Genomic DNA, 17,540 nt, shown 5'->3' on the forward strand with positions numbered 1-17,540 from the left:
AGCTCTGTAACCTGGAACGCGTTGCTTTCCTTCTCTGAACCCCAGATTCACCCATCAAATGGGGCAAACCACCATCTTCAAACCAGTGAGAGACACGGTGTTTCTGAGGCTCTTTCCATTTTCCTGCAGAAAAAGACTGACCTGTACTAGTAGCAACTTTGCTGACCAGTCAGGCTGAGAGATGAACGCAGTACATACACCACAGGTCCCTGGAACAGATGCCACTAATTCATTATTGACAAAACATAATAGCTCTATTATTTTTTACATTTTCCGGGTGTTTTCTGAACACCAGTAATGGTTCTGTCTCACATAGGTCAGCTAAGTTAATCGTCGTGGTTGCCAGTGAGCAAGGTCCTTTTGTGTTCTCAGTTCACAAGAGGGTGACAGGCTAAGAAGCTTGCTCAGGACCCCGCACACAGTGGCAGGGCTGGAATTTGAATGCAGACTCTGCTAGAACGTCCCCTGCCATCCATCCATCATGGTCATTAGGGTGGTTTTTATACTTGGTGATTGTCAGAGTGTCTCTGTAGTCGTGTCTATTACTATAGCTTTCTTTTGTGCCCCAGCCTTGGCTGTTTTTAGTCAAGGATAATAATTGTTTAAAAAGAGCTGGGCACTGTGGCTCATGCCTATAATCCCATTGCTTTGGGAGGCCAAGGCAGGAAGATCGCTTGAGCCCAGGAGTTCGAGGTTGCAGTGAGCTGTGATTGTGCCACTGCACTCCAGCCTGGGCAACAGAGCAAGACCCTGTCTCTGAATGAATGAATGGCACATCCTTTATTTTTAGCTGTACAGAGGGTCATGACATCTTCCAAAATATCGTCTAATTCAGAGCCTTCCATGTTGGTACCCACTCTGGATCTCTTGGCCGGTCTTGTGTACAGTCTGGAGGCCCCTGGGGAGATCCCCCCATGTTTTTTCTTTCTCTCACGCTCCCTCTGAATCTTTGTCTCAAAAAAAAAAACAAAAAACAAAAAACAAAAAACCAAACCTCTGGCTCTGTTGCCCAGGCTGGAGTGCAGTGGCATGACCTCACCTCACTGCAGCCTCTGCCTCCTGGGTTCAAGACATTCTCCTGCCTCAGCCTCCCAAGTAGCTGGGATTACAGGCGTGCACCACCACACCTGGCTAATTTTTTTTTTTTTTTTTAGTAGAGATGGGGTTTCAGGATGTTGCTCAGGCTGGTCTCGAACTCATGGCCTGAAGTGATCCATCCATCTCAGCCTCCCAAAGTGCTGGGATTATGGGAGTGAACCACTGTGCACAGCCACTCCTCCTAATCTTTATGGTGAGCTTTTTGAATGCAGCTTTTTCCAGAAAGTTTTATGTAGCAAGCCGGTGTGACAGGAAGACAAATTGTTGAGCTTTAAATTGAAGAAAAACAGAAGGCAGTTTGTCTGATGTGTTCCAGTTCTGTTCTTCTACCTTCTTCAAGTTTGAATTATGGAGACGGTGTCCTCCCGCTTTGAAAGTTAAACTGCTGGGAGGTATTTTATTGGGGAATGTTCTATTAAAGCATTAAGAACAATTAGATGTAAAGTCCTCTTTTATTTTTATGGAGTTTGACATACAAATAATTAGAAGTTTGGGTTTTCCCTCTCTCCCTACCTTCCTTCTCTTTCCTTCTCCCTCCCCACCGACCCCACCTCTTTTTTCCCTTTCTTCCTTAAGGGAATTCTAAAACCCTGGAATGAAGTGCATTTTGGGAAGAATTTGGTAGCAGGCTTTCTGTAATTGCCCACAGAAGGAGAAAAAACACATTTACCTATTTTTAGAGGTGAAAACTGCTCCTCCAGGCTTGAGGGCTTTTCTAGGGCAGGCTGTCCCCCGTTCTGAGACCCCCCACAGTGGGAGCTGGCTTCCCTCTCCCCTCTGACACCCCTGAGGTGGAAGCAGGCTGTTTTTTTTGGAGATTCTGGCAGGCTTTTCTACCTGTCACAGCACTGGCTGTGGTTCCTAATTACATACGTGTGTGTCTGATTAGGGTCTGTCGCCCCTATTAGACTCAGAATCCCATGAGAAAGGGTGTTCTGGCATTTCCCCCGTCTCCAACTCTTCATCCTCAGGCCTGAACTCTGTCTTTCACCCACAGCAGGTGACCGGCAGGTGCCTTAGTCCATCCGGGCTACTATAACAAAACAAAAAGTACCAGAAACTGGGTGGCTTATAAACAACAAATAGATCTCTCATGGTTGTGGAGGCTGGAAGTCCAAGATCAAGGTGCCAGCAGATGTGGTATCTGGGGAGGGCCTGTTTGCTGGTTCATAGATGGCACCTTCTCCCTGTGTCCTTACATGGTGGAAGAGGTGAGGCTGCTCTCTGGGGCCTCTCTTACAAAGGCACGAATCCCATTCATAAAGGGCTCCACCCTCATAACCATAGGCTCTTTAAAATGCCGCACCTCCTAATATCATCATCTTGGAGGTTAGCATTTCAGCATATGAATTTGGCAGTGGGGAGAGGACACAAACATTGAGACCACAGTAGCAAGCATTTAGGCATGAAGAATGTCACGGGAACAAGGCTTGGCTTCTCATTCTGCCTCCCACCCCCCTTGCCCTTCTGCCAGTGGCTGCCTCTGCTGGATGCCTTGTTCTGGACTTCTTGCTTGTCCTGCCCCCGTTGGTTGCCCCACCACCCCTTCCGCGCCCAGGGGACTCTGGCTCTTGTTGCTACTCTGCAGACCAGGAGAGAAAACTCCATCCCAGGAGGAAATGTATTTGGTTAGAAGGTTTGTAACAATGTAATTATGCAGCTGAGTGTGCTCAGGTATATTCTATGTATTAAGCTGATAGAAAAATCCTGTGTTAAGTCGGTGGATTCAGAAGAACAGGCGCAATTTAGCAAGCCACTGGGAGGAGCAGCTCACGTGAAGAGCCACAGAATGTTTCTCTTCTTGAGAGCACGGGGATGAGGTGAGCCAGGGACATGGTCATTAACAAGTGGAGGAGGGGATTTGGCTTGGTTAAAGGACCCTGGACTCTTTCCATTGCCTCAGTTACAGGCCGTTTTCTCAGGGCAATGATGTTTTCATTAGAAAAGCCACAGACACACTGAGCCAACTATAACTGGGGACCAAATGAGAGGCCGCTTTTCTATGCTAGCTGCCTCTTGAGGGCAGACTGTGGAGTTGGAGATGCGTTTGAGTAGAGGGTGGTGGCATGCCGAGATGGAAAATGAAAGGGGTAGATGCAGCTGGGAGTGTGAGAGCAGGGAGGGCCCAGAACCTTCTGCAGTTCATCCTCCTGGAGAGTCTACAACCACCATGGGTTCACTAAGTGATCGTGAGTCCCAGGGCCTGTCTTGTTCCAGTGACACTGCTGCAAGGAAGGGTCCCATGCTAGAGATGGCTGGGCCCATCCTCATGAGATCACTCCTCTGCTCAAGATCCTGCAGTGGCTCCCCACTTCCTTCGAAGTAAAGCCAAAGCTGGTGAGTGGTATAAAAGGACTTGACATGATGCAGTGCTCCCATCATCTCTCTCTGCTCCTCCGACTCCTCCTCGTGTTCATCTGCTCTGGGCATATTGGTCTCTTTGCTGTTCCTTAACGTGCGTGGCGCACACCCCCCCACATCTCCTTGAAGCCTTGGCTCTAACGTTTCTCTCTACCAAGACCCTCTTCCCCCAGAGAGCTTCTTGGTTAACTCCCTTGTCTCTTTCTAATCTATTTTATTTTATTTTTGAGATGGAGTCTTGCTCTGTCGCCCAGGCTGGAGTGCAGAGGCGCGATCTTGGCTCACTGCAACCTCTGCCTCCCAGATTCAAGCGATTCTCCTGCCTCAGTCTCCTGAGTAGCTGGGACTACAGGCACCCACCACCACACCCGGTGAATTTTTGTATGTTTGGTAGAGATGGTGTTTTGCCATGTTGGCCAGGATGGTCTCATCCTGACCTCAGGTGATCCGCCCACCTCAGCCTCCCAAAGTACTGGGATTACAGGCGTGAGCCTTGTTGGCCCAGCCCTCTTGGAGTCTTAGGAAGGGGCGCAGGTTGCCTGGGTTTCCCTCCTTGCCTCTTCCTGCCCCCAGAGAGCACCATGAAGCCCAATGAAGGTGGATATGGGGCAGGAGCTCGCTGGGGCTCTGGTGTGCAGGAAGGTTTCCCTGTTTGTCTTCAAAACTGATTTTGTAAGTGCTGAGAGCCGTGTTTTGTTTCTCTACCTCTATGGCCTCATCTGCAAGGCAGGCCTCTCTAGGTCCTTAGCAAATGGCTGTCCAGCCGACTTGGCCAAATGAATGAATTGATTCTCAGGGCTGTCTGTTTATCCAACGTCAGGAGAATGGGAGTGCAGGAGCCCAGGGCATGGTCCCTCTGGGCACTGAGTTTCCTCGTGCCCCCCTCCCCTGGAGCTCGGGTGTGTGTAGATGCATGACCAAGGACCAGGGGGCATTTTCACTTCTGTGGGGTGGGCCTGCCGGGTGGCTGGGCAGGGAGGCCCCTGTTTTAGTCGTGTTTCTCCTGGGAGCAGAGCCTGTGTCAGGGGCTTGGATTTAGGTGCTTCTCTGGGAGCTGATCCTAGGAAGCTACAGTGAGGGAGCCGGAGGGTGAGAAGGGAAGGAACGGCAGTCAGGAAAGGGGATTTCTTGAGATGGCTGCAGGTGGGCAGCCGGAGAGTCCCCCGAGGAGTGTGGAGAACATGCCTCGCAGTCGCCTCGGAAGGATGGGGCATTCATCCACCAACATCCACCCCCCATAGGCTGATGGTTGTCCCCTCAAGGTGCTGGCTGTCTCCACCCTGCTTCCACACTATCCAGCAGGGCTGGTCCCCTTCTCTGGCTCTGGAGAAGGTCCTGAGGGCAGCACAGGGCAGACCTCATGGTTATGGAGGTGGGAGTGAGTAGGCGATGTGCACACACTGGCCCTCCACAGCATGAGGGCGAGAGGTGAGCCGAGGGCAGGGGACGTGGGGTCATGATGTCTCCTAAAGGAACTTCTCTTATTGCCCAGGGCGGGAGGTTTCACAGCAGCCGTTTCCTGGGTGTCCTGCTCTCCCAGAGTGCTCTGCAGTATTATCCTTTTACCTCAGGCCACTGTGTAGCACCATGTAAAGGGTCTTATGCCTTTACATTGACACGATTGGAGCCTTTGAAACGTGGTTATGAAGCAGGCTTGATTTTCTGCATTTTTCAGATGAAAAAGCAGAGACTGGAGGTTTCCTATCTTGGTCAAGTTCATGTGAGCTCGTAAGTGAAGAATCCAGGAACTGAATTCCTGTCCCTGACCCCAAATTCCTTGCTGGGAGGGCTTGAGTGGTGCCCTATTCCCTACACTATGAAGTGGAGACAGTGTGCAGGGCCATTCTCTGAAAGCCCTTTGTGCCTCTGGGCCTTTGCATGTGCTTGTCTCCGTCTGCCCGAGGGCTGGCTTCTGTTCATGCATCAGGAGCCAGCTGCAGTGTCACCACCTCTGTGAAGGCGCCGTGATTCCCTCCAGTGCTTCATCCTTTGTGTTTTCCCAGCATCCCAGACTTGTATTATAATTCACATTACATCACAGCATCTGGTATAAGTTCTCAGGTGCTAGGTACAGTGACCAACTCCAGCTGACCGTGCATGAGTTAAAGCGTTGCTGCTGCTTTTTTTTTTTTAGAGACAGTTCTCACTCTGTTGCCCAGGCTTGATTGCAGTGGCGCCATCATGGCTCACTGCAGCCTCTACCTCCCAGGTAGAGCACTTTTAATTTTTTTAATTTTTTTATTTTTATTTTTTGAGAGAGGGTCTCGCTCTGGCACCCAGGCTGGAGTGCAGTGGCGCAATCTCGGCTTACTGCAATCTCCGCCTCCAGGGTTCAAGTAATTCTCCTGCCTCAGCCTGCCGAGTAGCTGGGATTACAGACGTGCGCCACCACACCCGGCTAATTTTTGTATTTTTAGTAGAGATGAGGGTTCACCATGTTGGCCAGGCTGGTCTCGAACTCCTGACCTCAAGTGATCCACCCACCTCGGCCTCCCAAAGTGCTGGGATAACAGGCGTGAGCCAGTGCACCCAGCCGGTTTTAATTGTCACAGATGTGGGCACCCAGTAGTCCTGCTTGAGCATTCTCACATATTTTGTGGTCCATTTGCCTAATGATTCATAAGTGCCTCACAGGCCAAGCTCACATTAGTTCTTTTCTTGAACATTGATATGATGCCTCACCCAGGCTGTGGGCCAAAAGGACAGCGTGGCATGATGAAAAGAACATGCAACGTGCACCGGAGACTCGGGGTAGCCCGAGTGGAACCCTGCTCCCTCATTTCCTGCCGTGTGACCTCAGGCAACTTTGAGCCTGTTTCCTTATTTGTGAAATGCGGATATGGGGATTGAGTGAAATGGGGGAACCCTTAGCTCAGTGCTTGTCTGTTTAAGTATTGACTTCTGTCCCACTTTCTCTAGTTAGTGCCCAGTAAATTGTTGACTTGATCTCAACTCAGAACGAGGATCTTTGCCTGTGGCGTGGAATCATTTCTCCAATCATGGAGAATGGGCGGAGAATGAGATTTGTAACACACCTGCCTGTTAGTTTTAGATGAGCCCTTCTGGAATTAATATGGTGTAGGCTTGGGTAGAAAGCACATCTTGTGCATAACTGCATTATCTTAGCAATTAGCTGGAATGAAGGTTCCATGTGCCCTCTACTGAGGACACCCGTCTAACAAAGGGTTTCTTTGGCTCCCAGCAAGGCTGGCACCCCTGCAGATGTATGACGATACCCAGCCAAGTTGATCTCTCTGCCTAATCCCTAGTTCCAGGGATAGCCTGTGGAGCATTGTAGGGAGTTGGCTTCATTCCTCACCCTTCCATTCTTTCAGAGACGATGGCTCAGCACACTGTATGTTGGGCTGCTTCTCAAGAACTAATTCCCAGTAACTAGCAATCCCAGTATTGAGTAGATGCAAGATGATTTTGAGAACTCTCGCTGTTCTGTTTCTAGGCTTCAACTTCGGATATCTTGGACCAGGCGTTTCTCCCTAAAGCTTTTGCTGAAGTTTCACCAAAGGATTTTATGAGACTGTAGGTTCCATGGACCACATCTGCATAGAGACATGGCTGTGTATTTCACAAGTAGGAGAATAGAAATCCCCACTGGGGCTGGGCACGGTAGCTCACACCTGTAATCCTAACACTTTGGGGAGCCGAAGCAGGAGAATCACTTGAGCCCAGAAGTTTGAGACCAGCCTGGGCAACATAAGGAGACCCTGTCTCTATTAAAAATAAGTACATTTAGAAATAAAAATATAAAAAGGAAAGGAAATCCCCAGTAGGACTGGGAGAACTCATACCTCATGGGTAGTGGGCTCAGTGGCCTTGGTGAACACTTAAGAGAGGGACAGGAAGTACAAGGTCCTTTGCTGCTACTCCCTTATCCCGTGCTTTTGCAGACATTACTAATCAATCACTGCACTCTTTGTAGCCCTAGAATCTTAGAATCCAGTGCATCTAGGCAGCCACTTCCAGTCATAGGCACCAATTTTCTTTACTGAAAATCTATTCTTCACCTCTCTTGTCTCTGGGAACTCTAAGTAAGTCCCTTTCCAAAAGCGCAGGCTAGTCAGATGTCTCTAACAAATGGTTCTAGGGCCAAGTGGGAATGATGAGATTTGCCACAGCAGGGAATAGCACCGTGACTCTGATGTTGCCAGGTGTGGAAATGATGCTGGTGAGGCCTGGGTGGTGGTCTGGATGCCCACTGTTTGCCCCATTGCTGGGTCTGCTGGACCCCACGAACTGCCTCCACTCCACTTTCTGACTGTATTCATGTTGCTGAGGGGCGTCAGGGGGCATGGTAGGAGTAGATGTTAGGTTTTTAACATGAGGAATCTTCATTTTAGTTTAGATTCAGGATCTTTCAGCCCTCTGAGTCTATCCCCTTGGTTACATAGCAGAGAGGCTTATGTGCTCTGCCAATTAGCCCACCAACTTTAGAAGGTCACAGCCAGAAAAATAGTCTTGTGCTAATGATTTAAAAATAACTTGGTGTTATTATATCATTCCATTCCTGTGAAACATCTAGGATAAGCAAATTTCTAGAGACAGAAACGAGATTAGTGGTTGTCAGGGGCCGTGGTTGGGGTGTGGGTGGTTGGGAGTGACTGCTAATGGATATAGGTTTTCTTTTTGGGGTGATGAAAATGATCTCTTCATAGAATTGTTGTTGTTGTTGTACAGTCTTGCAAATATGCTAAAAACCACTGGACATGCACTTTAAAAGGGTGAATTATATCTTAAGGAAGATTAGAAAAAAGTAAGGAGATTTTGTACAAAATAAAATCAAGTGTTAATAACAGCTACTACTGAGCACTTAAAAACGTAACTTCATGGCAGAAGTGTTAGTGCTGTCCCCCATTTCTTGATGGCATTATAGCATCAATGTCTGGACTGTGGGAGCTTTCTCTTTTGGGTCTGAAATATTGAGATCTTGACTGCTTTCACTTCTGGCCTTGTGCCGGGAGTAGCGACTGTATGTGTGATTTCGAGATATGCAAATCATCCTCTTCTTGCTTTCCTGATTTTTCTCAGGATTGCTGACATGCTACAGCTGATCAAAACCCACACCCGAGTACATTTTTGACAGAGATACAGTGATGATTTCATCTTTCATTTTCACCTCCCTCTATCAGTCCCGCAATGATTTCCAGTGTCTGATACCTCGTCACGTTCTGCGGTTGATAATACTATCTCAATTCATGGCCCTTGAAGCCATGTTGACCACCTTTCTGACCTTTGGATAGACAGGGAATACCAGATGGGCTGCGTTTTCCCCTCGGATTTTCTTTCCAGCCTTTTCCCTTTCCACTCTCTTCTTTGCCCCGAGGCGCAGCTTGGTGGACTCCATCACGAGGTTCCCCGACCTCTGACTTATGGTTGGCTTTGGCCCATGTGGTCACTGGGAAGCTCTGCCAGGAATGACTTGAGGCTGGGGCAGTTACTCTCTCGTCTTCCTCTCTGCTGGAGGCTGCAGCTTCTTTAAGTGGCATGGCATCACTGCCCAATTGATGCTGGGCTCCAGTAGCCACTGTCTACCTTACCCTTCAGGCCTGAAGGAGCGTAGGGTGGGCATCTGATACGGTTTGGATGTTTGTTCCCTCCAAATCTTACGTTAAAATGTGATTCCTAATGTCAGAGGTGGTGTCTGATGGGAAGTATTGGGTCACGGGGACAGGTGGGTCCCTCATGAATGGCTTAGCACACTCCCCCTTGGTCATGAGTGAGTTCTTGCTCTATTAGTTAATGCCAGAACTGGTTACTTAAAAAGAGCCTGGCACTTCCACCCTCCCTGCCCGCCCTTCTTCTCTTGCCTGTGGCACGCCAGTTCCCTATGCCTTCTGCCATGACTGAAAGCTTTCTGAGGCTTCACTAGAAGCAGGTGCTGGACCGCGTTTCTTACACAGTCTGCAGAACTGTGAACCAAATAGACCTCCCTTCCATATAAATTACCCAGCCTCAGGTATTCCTGATGAGCAATGCAAAATGGACTAATACAGTCTTTCCACAATTGTCGGCCCCCGAATCCCTCACCACCCCTGTTGGTTTCTTTTCACCTTGCTCCTCTGTAAATGGTCTATTAAACCTCACCATCAACCCCTTTGATGGTGCCATGTACTTACTTCCTGCCGGGCTTTGACTGAAACACCAGGCTTGTTCCAACTGGATGGCTTTGCACGTGATGGCTCCCTTCTTGAACACTCTTCCCTCAGATCTCAGCACGGTCGGCTCCTTCTGAGGGTGTCCAGCCTCAGCACACATGTCAGCGCCTCCGAGGGGCCTCGTCTGTTTACCCTCTCATCGTCCATCCTAGTACCATGCGTCATTTTCTTTATATCACTTTGACCCTCTGAAATGATCAATACTTGGTTGGCTGACTGGGCTTGTCCAGGGCATCCACACCCTCCTAAGTAGATGAGGAGTTGGCAAATATATTCTGTTGAGGGGCAGAGGGTAAATATTTTTGGCTTTGCAGGCCATATGGTCTCTGTCACAACTACTGAAGTCTGCTGTTGTAGCAAGAAAGCTGCCAGAGACATTACATAAATGAGTGGACATGCCTGTGTTCCACTAAAACTTCATTCACAGAAACAGAGCAGAAATGTGTGGTAGGCACATTCTATTCAATAAAGCTATTTAAGAAGCCACAAAAAATACACAACAGGCTGGATTTGTCCTGTGGGCCATAGTTGATGACCTTGAGCTAGCCTGAAGGCAGTGGGGTCTTGTGTGTCCTGTTCACTTTGGGTCCAGTGCTTTGAACGGGGCCTGGCTCGTAGGAGGTGCGTAGTAACTGTTCCCTGAATGCAGACCCAGGAATGCCTGTTCCATGCAGGTCATGGTGCTGGGCAGCGGCAACACCCTGGAGGGCCGGCAAGCACGTGTTTATCACACAACATAGTTGTTGCTTTGTTTTTCTTTTTTTTTTGAGACAGTCTCACTCTGTTGCCAAAGCTAGAGTGCAGTGGTACGCTCTTGGCTCACTGCAACCTCCGCCTCCAGGGTTTAAGTGATTCTCTCACCTCAGCCTCCCAAGTAGCTGGGGCTACAGGCATGTACCACCATGCCCAGCTAATTTTTGTATTTTTAGTAGAGATGGGGTTTCACCATGTTGGCCAGGCTGGTCTCGAACTCCTGACCTCAGGTGATACGCCCACCTTGGCCTCCCAAAGTCCTGGGATTACAGGCGTGAGCCACTGCGTCTGGCCAGTTGTTGCTTCTGATGGTAGATAGGAATGTCCTTTGCGGAGCCCCCAGGGTGAATTGGGTCACCCTGCTGAGAAAGGCGGGACTGGCCTCCCTGAGGAGGGAACACTGGAGCTGCGTCTGGAAGGCTGATTAGGGGTTTGGCAGGTGGGTGAGGTGGGGTAGCAGGGAGGAGGGCTTTACGAGAAGCTTGAGAGGGCCTGGTGTGTTTGACGGACTAGACTCTGCTACCCAGGGTGTTGAGGGTGACTGGAGAGGAGCTCAAGTGGACAGAGGCCAGACCAGAGGCCTGCACACCATGCCTGGTGGTGGGTCATTATCCTCTAGGCGATGGAGCAGCACTGAGGATGCAGCACCGATGAATTCACATGGTTAGAGAGGCGTTTCCATTGAGAGCAGTGTGGAGAGTCATGGAGGGGCTGGTGGCAACAGGAGACTAGAAATCTCCTGTAGAAGCTTCCCTCTATAGAAGCTTCTTGCCCCACATGGGTCTTGGTCTAGGGTGGGGTCTTGGGAGGATTTGTATTTGTTAAACCGAACCTTTTGTTCAGCCAGGGCTGAGGACTGTTCCCTGCCTCGGCACATCCTGCGGTCTCTGTTGGAGAGAACGGACCATAAGCTGATGCAGGCTCTGTTTCTGGCTTGCTCGATGGTGGTACTGTTCCGTGGTGCAGAGGATGAGCAGGTGTAGGTGAGGAGAGGGTGTGTCCAGATTTGGACATTCTACAGGAGTGGGGTGGGGAGAACTGAGATGTTAACAAGTAATTGAAAAATGAGGTCACAGGTAGTACAGCTCTCAAGAAGACAGTACAAGATGATGATGTGAATCTGCAAAGGACCTATGGAGTGGGAATATCTTTTGGTTGGGAGGGTTTGCTTTCTTAGTTGGGGAAAGCATTTTGGAGGTGCGGTGTGTGTGTAGGGGCACAAAGGAGCCAAGACTGGAAGGATGAGGAGGAACCAGCTCTCCCAGTGTCTGGGGGAAGACAGGGAAGGGCATATGCAAAGGCCCTGGGGTAGGGATGAGTGTGGGGTATGGAAGAAATGTCAAGAGGGGCGCAGAGCAGAATGTGAGAGGGCAATGAGGTACGAAATAAGGCATTTGAGTGGAGTTTGGAAAACAGAATTTCCAGTTGACCAAGATTTCTGGTTAATAGAGTACTAGTTATGCTGGTTTAAGAAAACCCGTGCGATAGTGAATGACTGTAATAAGGATTTATAAGATGTACTTGGGAATCCTTGATCCTGTAGGTTCGTGATTTTGAGAAGTTCAACTGCTACATTTTTGCCCCTGGCCTAGCATTACAACCTTGAGAAGATTGAGTACTGTTTACAAGTATGTACTTTTTTGGTTGATAATATTTCTTGAAACTTCTCACTTTGAAAGGGGCCATACAGCATTTGGAAGCTGTATGGGCAGCCTGAGCATTTGGCTTGGATTTAATCATGGGATTTTCTTACTTTGGGCAGCAGAATTCATATAAGTGTGTTTATTCATGCCTTTTTTTTTTTTTTTTTTTTTGAGATGAAGTTTTTTGGCTCTTGTTGTCCAGGCTGGAGTGCGGTGGTATGATCTTAGCTCACTGCAACATCCGCCTCCCGGGTTCAAGCAGCTCTCCTGCCTCAGCCTCCTGAGTAGCTGGGATTACAGGTGCCCACCACCATGCCCAGCTAATTTTTGTATTTTTAGTAGAGACAGGGTTTTACCATGTTTGTCAGGCTGGTCTTGAACTCCTGACCTCAGGTGATCTGCCCACCTTGATCTCCCAAAGTGCTGGGGTTACAGGTGTGAGCCACCGCACCCGGCCTTATTCATGCCTTTTTGACTCACTTCTCCTGTGGCTGTTCTTGAATTTGCATTTGCCATCATGTGAGTGAATCAAGAGTTTGTCGTGTTCGGCCTTTTGAGGAACAGGATAAGGACCACTTAGCAGAACTTTTGGAGACATACTGGCATCTTATTAAGTGGGAAATACATGGTTTCACATGGAAGTGAGTATAAATCGAGTAGGCCTGTGTTTTTGCTTTGGAATCTCTGTTGCTCATGTGTTTCCTGCGTAATTGTCCTGAAGAAGAGAGGAGCTTGAGTGACATGCATTCTGCAAACATCTTGCTCCCTTTTGCAGTGTGCTTTCTAGTTATTATGTGGTGCATATACAGCTTGTGAAGTTGTTCAGCAATTTAGTGGCATAAAAAGATAACCTGCTTGTCAATTTTTGTCTCAGGTCAAGTCACTTATGCCTAAGAAAAGATGAAAAATGATACATGTAGGCAAAATAGTCAATCCTTTAGTTTGAGTCTGTATCAGCTAAACATTTTTTGTAAGCCTCCTTTTACAGGTTTGTTTTTTACCATTCAAATATTAAATATAAACTTTACTTATTTTTATTTTATATTTTGAGACAGAGTCTTGCTCTGTCACCCAGACTGGAGTGCAGTGTTGCAATCTTGGCCCACTGCAACCTCTGCCTCCCAGGTTCAAGCAGTTCTTCTGCCTCAGCCTCCCGAGTAGCTGGGATTACAGGCGCACGCCGCCACCATGCCTGGCAAATTTTTGTGTGTTCAGTGGAGACGGTGTTTTGCCATGTTGTCCAGGTTGGTCTCGAACTCCTGGCCTCAACTGATCCACCTGCCTCGGCCTCCCAAAGTGTTGGGATTACTGGCGTGAGCCACCACACCCGGCCAGACTTTGATTCCCTTCTGACTGATGAGAGTCAGCCAGCTCTGCTGCACACTAGCCATGTGACCTTGGATCTACCACCTCACCTCTCTAGGCCGTGTTTGACCCTGTCTAATGGGGCTACCTTAGGGGGTTGTCGAGAGTTGTTTGAAGTCCTTATCCTGGTGTTTAATGCATGGAAGCATTTAATCCATGTCATCTATTCATGGTAGTAGTATTAACAGTAGTAGTCATTGCCGTTATCGTAATAATAGTAGCAGCAGTCTTGGTTAAAAATGTGATTTGGTGGTTTGCCAAAGTGGATACATTAATTCATTGATGAAACAAACATTTATTGAGCATCTCCTGTGTGTCAGGCACTGAGCAAAATACTTGGGATACAGAGATAAGTGGGTAGGGCTCTTGTGGAAGAGCAGCCAGGCAAATGGGAGAGACAAATGAGGGGGCCATGATGGGCATTCAGAGCAGTGAGCGCTGGAAGCAAATTAAACAGAGGGTGGTTTGGGAGCACAGAGGAAGAAATCTATCCATGGGCTGTGGTCAGGCAAGGCTGAGCCTTGAAACTGGAGGGCTAGCCAGGTTAACATGGTGAAGGAAGGGCTCTCCACTTGGAGGAGCTGGCGAGCAGGAAGGCGGGGGGCATAGGCAGCCGAGTCTTGTAGTGTGCAGGGGAGCGTGGCGCTCAGTTCACTTGGAGCTGATTATGGTATTGGGCCATTTCCTTACCAGAGCCTTTCCCCACCTACTTCTCAGGTGGCTGGACCAAGAAGGATATGAATTGTTATGTAGACACAGCTCCTGGAAAACCCAAAGATCCCGTGTACCCACCCTCCTTTAGAGGCCCCGTATTTATTTGTTTGATGATTGCCACCAGCAGCTTCAGGCATCAGAGTTGGGTGTGTGTGGCTGTTGAAAACCAGGAAGTCATGATCCACTTTCATTCAGTGCTTCCAGCAGATCTCGTGTCCAACTTAATATTGTGAATTTAATAACTGTTGGTTTGTTTGGACTATTTATATGCTTATTTTGCAAAGCAAAACTCAAGCCCTACTAGGAAGAAGAAAATGCTCCGTCTTTGCTTTGGGTTGCTGCATGGAGCTCTCCTTACGTGGATCAGCCAGTGGTTAAGGAAGGTGGTAAACTGGGGACTTTCTGTTACAGTCTTCCACATGGCCCATTTGCTCAATGCATGTCTTTTTTGCTTCCAAAGGAATTTTGACTTTGTGGGGCATGCTATGATGAAGTCTTGGCTTTGCTGGCTGAACCGAGTATATTGCCTTCCTGGCCATCTCATAGCTGGTGAGGTCGTTCTTCCCATTTGGAAACTGTTTTTTCTTTGTTTCCCTCATGAGAAGTCTGGTTCCAGTGGCCTATGACTGCACCAGCTGGTTGTCTGGCCCAGAGCTGGAGTCACCTGATGGTCCTTGTCTGAGCTCTGCCGCCGATGCAGATGAGGTTGCAGAGAGGTGGCTGTGGGGGCCACCTGTCTGGCCCTCCAGACTGTCCAGGTGTCAGATGTCACAGAGCCTCTGTGGGTCCAGGTAGAGCTCTTGATATTTCTTGTTCCTTCCCTGAGCTCACCTGGTTGCCCTTCTTTTTGTCAGGGTTGACTTCTCCACCCACCACCACCACCATCATCAATATGATCATCATCATAGTAGCCACCATTAATTGCCCAGGGTTGGGAGGTGCAATCATTGATTCCATTATCGCCACCATTAAGTAATGATGATTATGATGACTGCAGCTCACATTTATTGAGTGTTTAGTGTGTTTCAGACATTCTTTTAATCCTCCCAATGAGGTAGGTAGAAGTACCACTGCCCTCTTAGAGATGTGGGACCAAGGCACAAAGAAGTCATCACTTGTTGAAGGTAACAAGCCGGGGAGTGAATGAGCCAGGATCCAGTTTCAGTGTGATTCTACATCAGGGGTTGGCAAACTGTCACCTGCAGGGCCACCGTTTATTTCGTGAATAAGGTGTTATTGTAACCCATTTGTTTAGGAATGGTCCTTGGCAGCTTGCATGTGGCAGCAGCAGAGGTGAGTAGTTACAAAGGAGACTGCGTGGCTCACAGGCCTGACCCTTTACCAAAAGAGCTCACCTGGCACCCTGTTCTGGAACCCAAGCTCTCAGCCAGCACGCTGCGCTGGCTCTCAAGGAAAGACAAAATCACCAGGTTTCCACAGTGTCCCAGGCACTGGGAGACAGTCATGAAGTGGCGTATTCTGGTGAGGAGGCAGACAGTAATGATATACTCACTTTAGTACAAAGAGAGAATTGCTCTGAAGGAAAAGTGTAGGCTGTCAAGAAAGCAGCAAACACAGGCAGCGAGTGCTTGCATGTCTATGCTGGAGGGCGGGGATCCAGGCAGTTTCGCTGGTGGAAGTGACATTTGAGCAGATGAGGGTGGAGGGAGGAGCCTTTGGGGGAAGGAAAGGATGTGCAAAAGCCCAGAAGTGAGCAACCATGACCTAGAGGAAAGCGTGATTCCCCTTTGCATGTGAGGAAACTGGAAGCTTAAGGAACCCTTGTCACGGGTCACATGGCAAGCTGAATGGTTGCTCAGAGAATCGAACCAACTTTGTTTGAATCTAAGCCCCATGTTGTTGCTCCTATTCTAGGTTCCTCTGCTCCTAGGTCCCCACCTCGTTACATACCTCGCCCCAGCTAGCATCTTCCCATAACTGAACAGGCTGACGGGTGCCCTCGTGACCTTGGAATGTGCCTTGGCCGTAGCACAGGGGCATTGGCGTGGTTTCTGGAGCCAGCCTACTGTACATTCCTGGTTTTTCCCTTTGCTTCATCTCTCATCACACAGAGGCGCTTCAGCCACATTTCTGGTTCACCTTTGCTGCTAGAATCTTCTTAACAATAACGTATTGAGTTATTATTAGATCGTTACATAAATTTCTATCAACGCATTCTGGTAGATTTGCCCTCTAGAGAGCTCCTTCAGGAGAAAAGCTCTTAGAAGAGTGATGTGAGGGAGTGAGTTCTTTGCATGCCGGTTTCTTCTTGCCCCAGATCATCCGGAGAGAGGGCAGAACCTTGGCACCTGGGTTGTGGGGTGAGGAGGGTGGTGGTCCCCTTCTGACCTGCACGTGCTGGGGAGAGCTTTTACCAGAAAGGGTTTTCCGTCACAGCTGAAGGATGGCTTTGGAGGTGATCTCAAGACTTGGCCTCACTGCTGAGGGGTGTGAGGTTTCTTGTGCAGGTGATGCAGTGTTCTACGATAACATTGTCGGGATAGCTGCACAGCTCTGTGAATATGCTGAAAACCACTGAATCGTATGCTTGAACTGGGTGAATTGTTTGGTATGTGAATTGTATCTCACAGCTGTTCTTTTAAGAAGGAGAAGCCTGACAAAGCTTCAGGGAGGCTGTCCGGGAGCCCCAGTTCTAGGGAGGGTGCCCTGTAGGCTCAAAGCGCAAGTGACGCCGCCTGGTTTGTTCATGGCCCCGTGAGGCTGTGACACTGAAACAAGCCAAAATGTAGCTCTCGTGGGTGGGAGCTGATCACGGGCTTCCTTTTCAGAAATGACCCCAGGAGGCCATGTGGGTCTTGTCAGTGGGCACGGACTTGGCTGGAGGGCCTGGGCTGGGGATGGTCCTTTGCCGCCTACTGCCTTGGTGAAGTGGCTTTGTCTTCGGGCAAGGCAACATGGACGTACTGTGTGAACAGGAGGGGATGGCAGACATTTAAAATGCATTCATGGCCAGGCGTTGTGGCTCACGCCTGTAATCCCAGCACTCTGGGAGGCCAAGATGGGTGGATCACCTGAGGTCAGTAGTTCGAGACCAGCCTGGCCAACATGGTGAAATGCTATCTGTACTAAAAATACAAAAAATTAGCCGGGAATGGTTGTGTGTGCCTGTAATGCCAGCTACTTTGGGAGGCTGAGGCAGGAGAATCACTTGAACCCCAGAGGCGGAGGTTGCAGTGAGCTGAGATCATGCCACTGCACTCCAGCCTGGGGACCATCCAGGGTTCAACAGCCGCCTCCTGGGTTCAAGTGATTATCCTGCCTCGGCCTCCCAAAGTGCTGGGATTACAGGGGTGAGCCACCGTACCTGGCCACATTCATTTATTAAATATTGGTGCTGCAGGAAATGGTAAAGAAGGTGGATAAGAAGCTCAAGTTCTAGATCGGGTTTCTTGCTCTCCGTGCCGACACTTGGGCT

At 49.0% G+C, this 17,540-nt stretch overlaps 1 protein-coding gene across 21 annotated transcripts in view, besides 1 other annotated feature; it reads left to right on the forward strand.

Moving 5' to 3' along the window:
• The window catches only part of SNX29 (sorting nexin 29), a 597,554-nt gene that overhangs the window by 175,772 nt on the left and 404,242 nt on the right, over positions 1-17,540 (forward strand). The gene's annotated exons all lie outside the window — the stretch shown is intronic.
• Positions 10,733-11,233: an enhancer, noted in NCBI's record as "H3K4me1 hESC enhancer chr16:12257095-12257595 (GRCh37/hg19 assembly coordinates)". NCBI's record gives its function as "activates a minimal SCP1, AML or CMV promoter by ChIP-STARR-seq in primed H9 embryonic stem cells {active_cell/tissue: H9 hESC(primed)}" and the evidence as "EXISTENCE:reporter gene assay evidence [ECO:0000049][PMID:30033119]".

The sequence above is a fragment of the Homo sapiens genome, chromosome 16 (genome assembly GCF_000001405.40).
Source record: "Homo sapiens chromosome 16, GRCh38.p14 Primary Assembly".
Classification (NCBI taxonomy): Eukaryota; Metazoa; Chordata; class Mammalia; order Primates; family Hominidae; genus Homo; species Homo sapiens.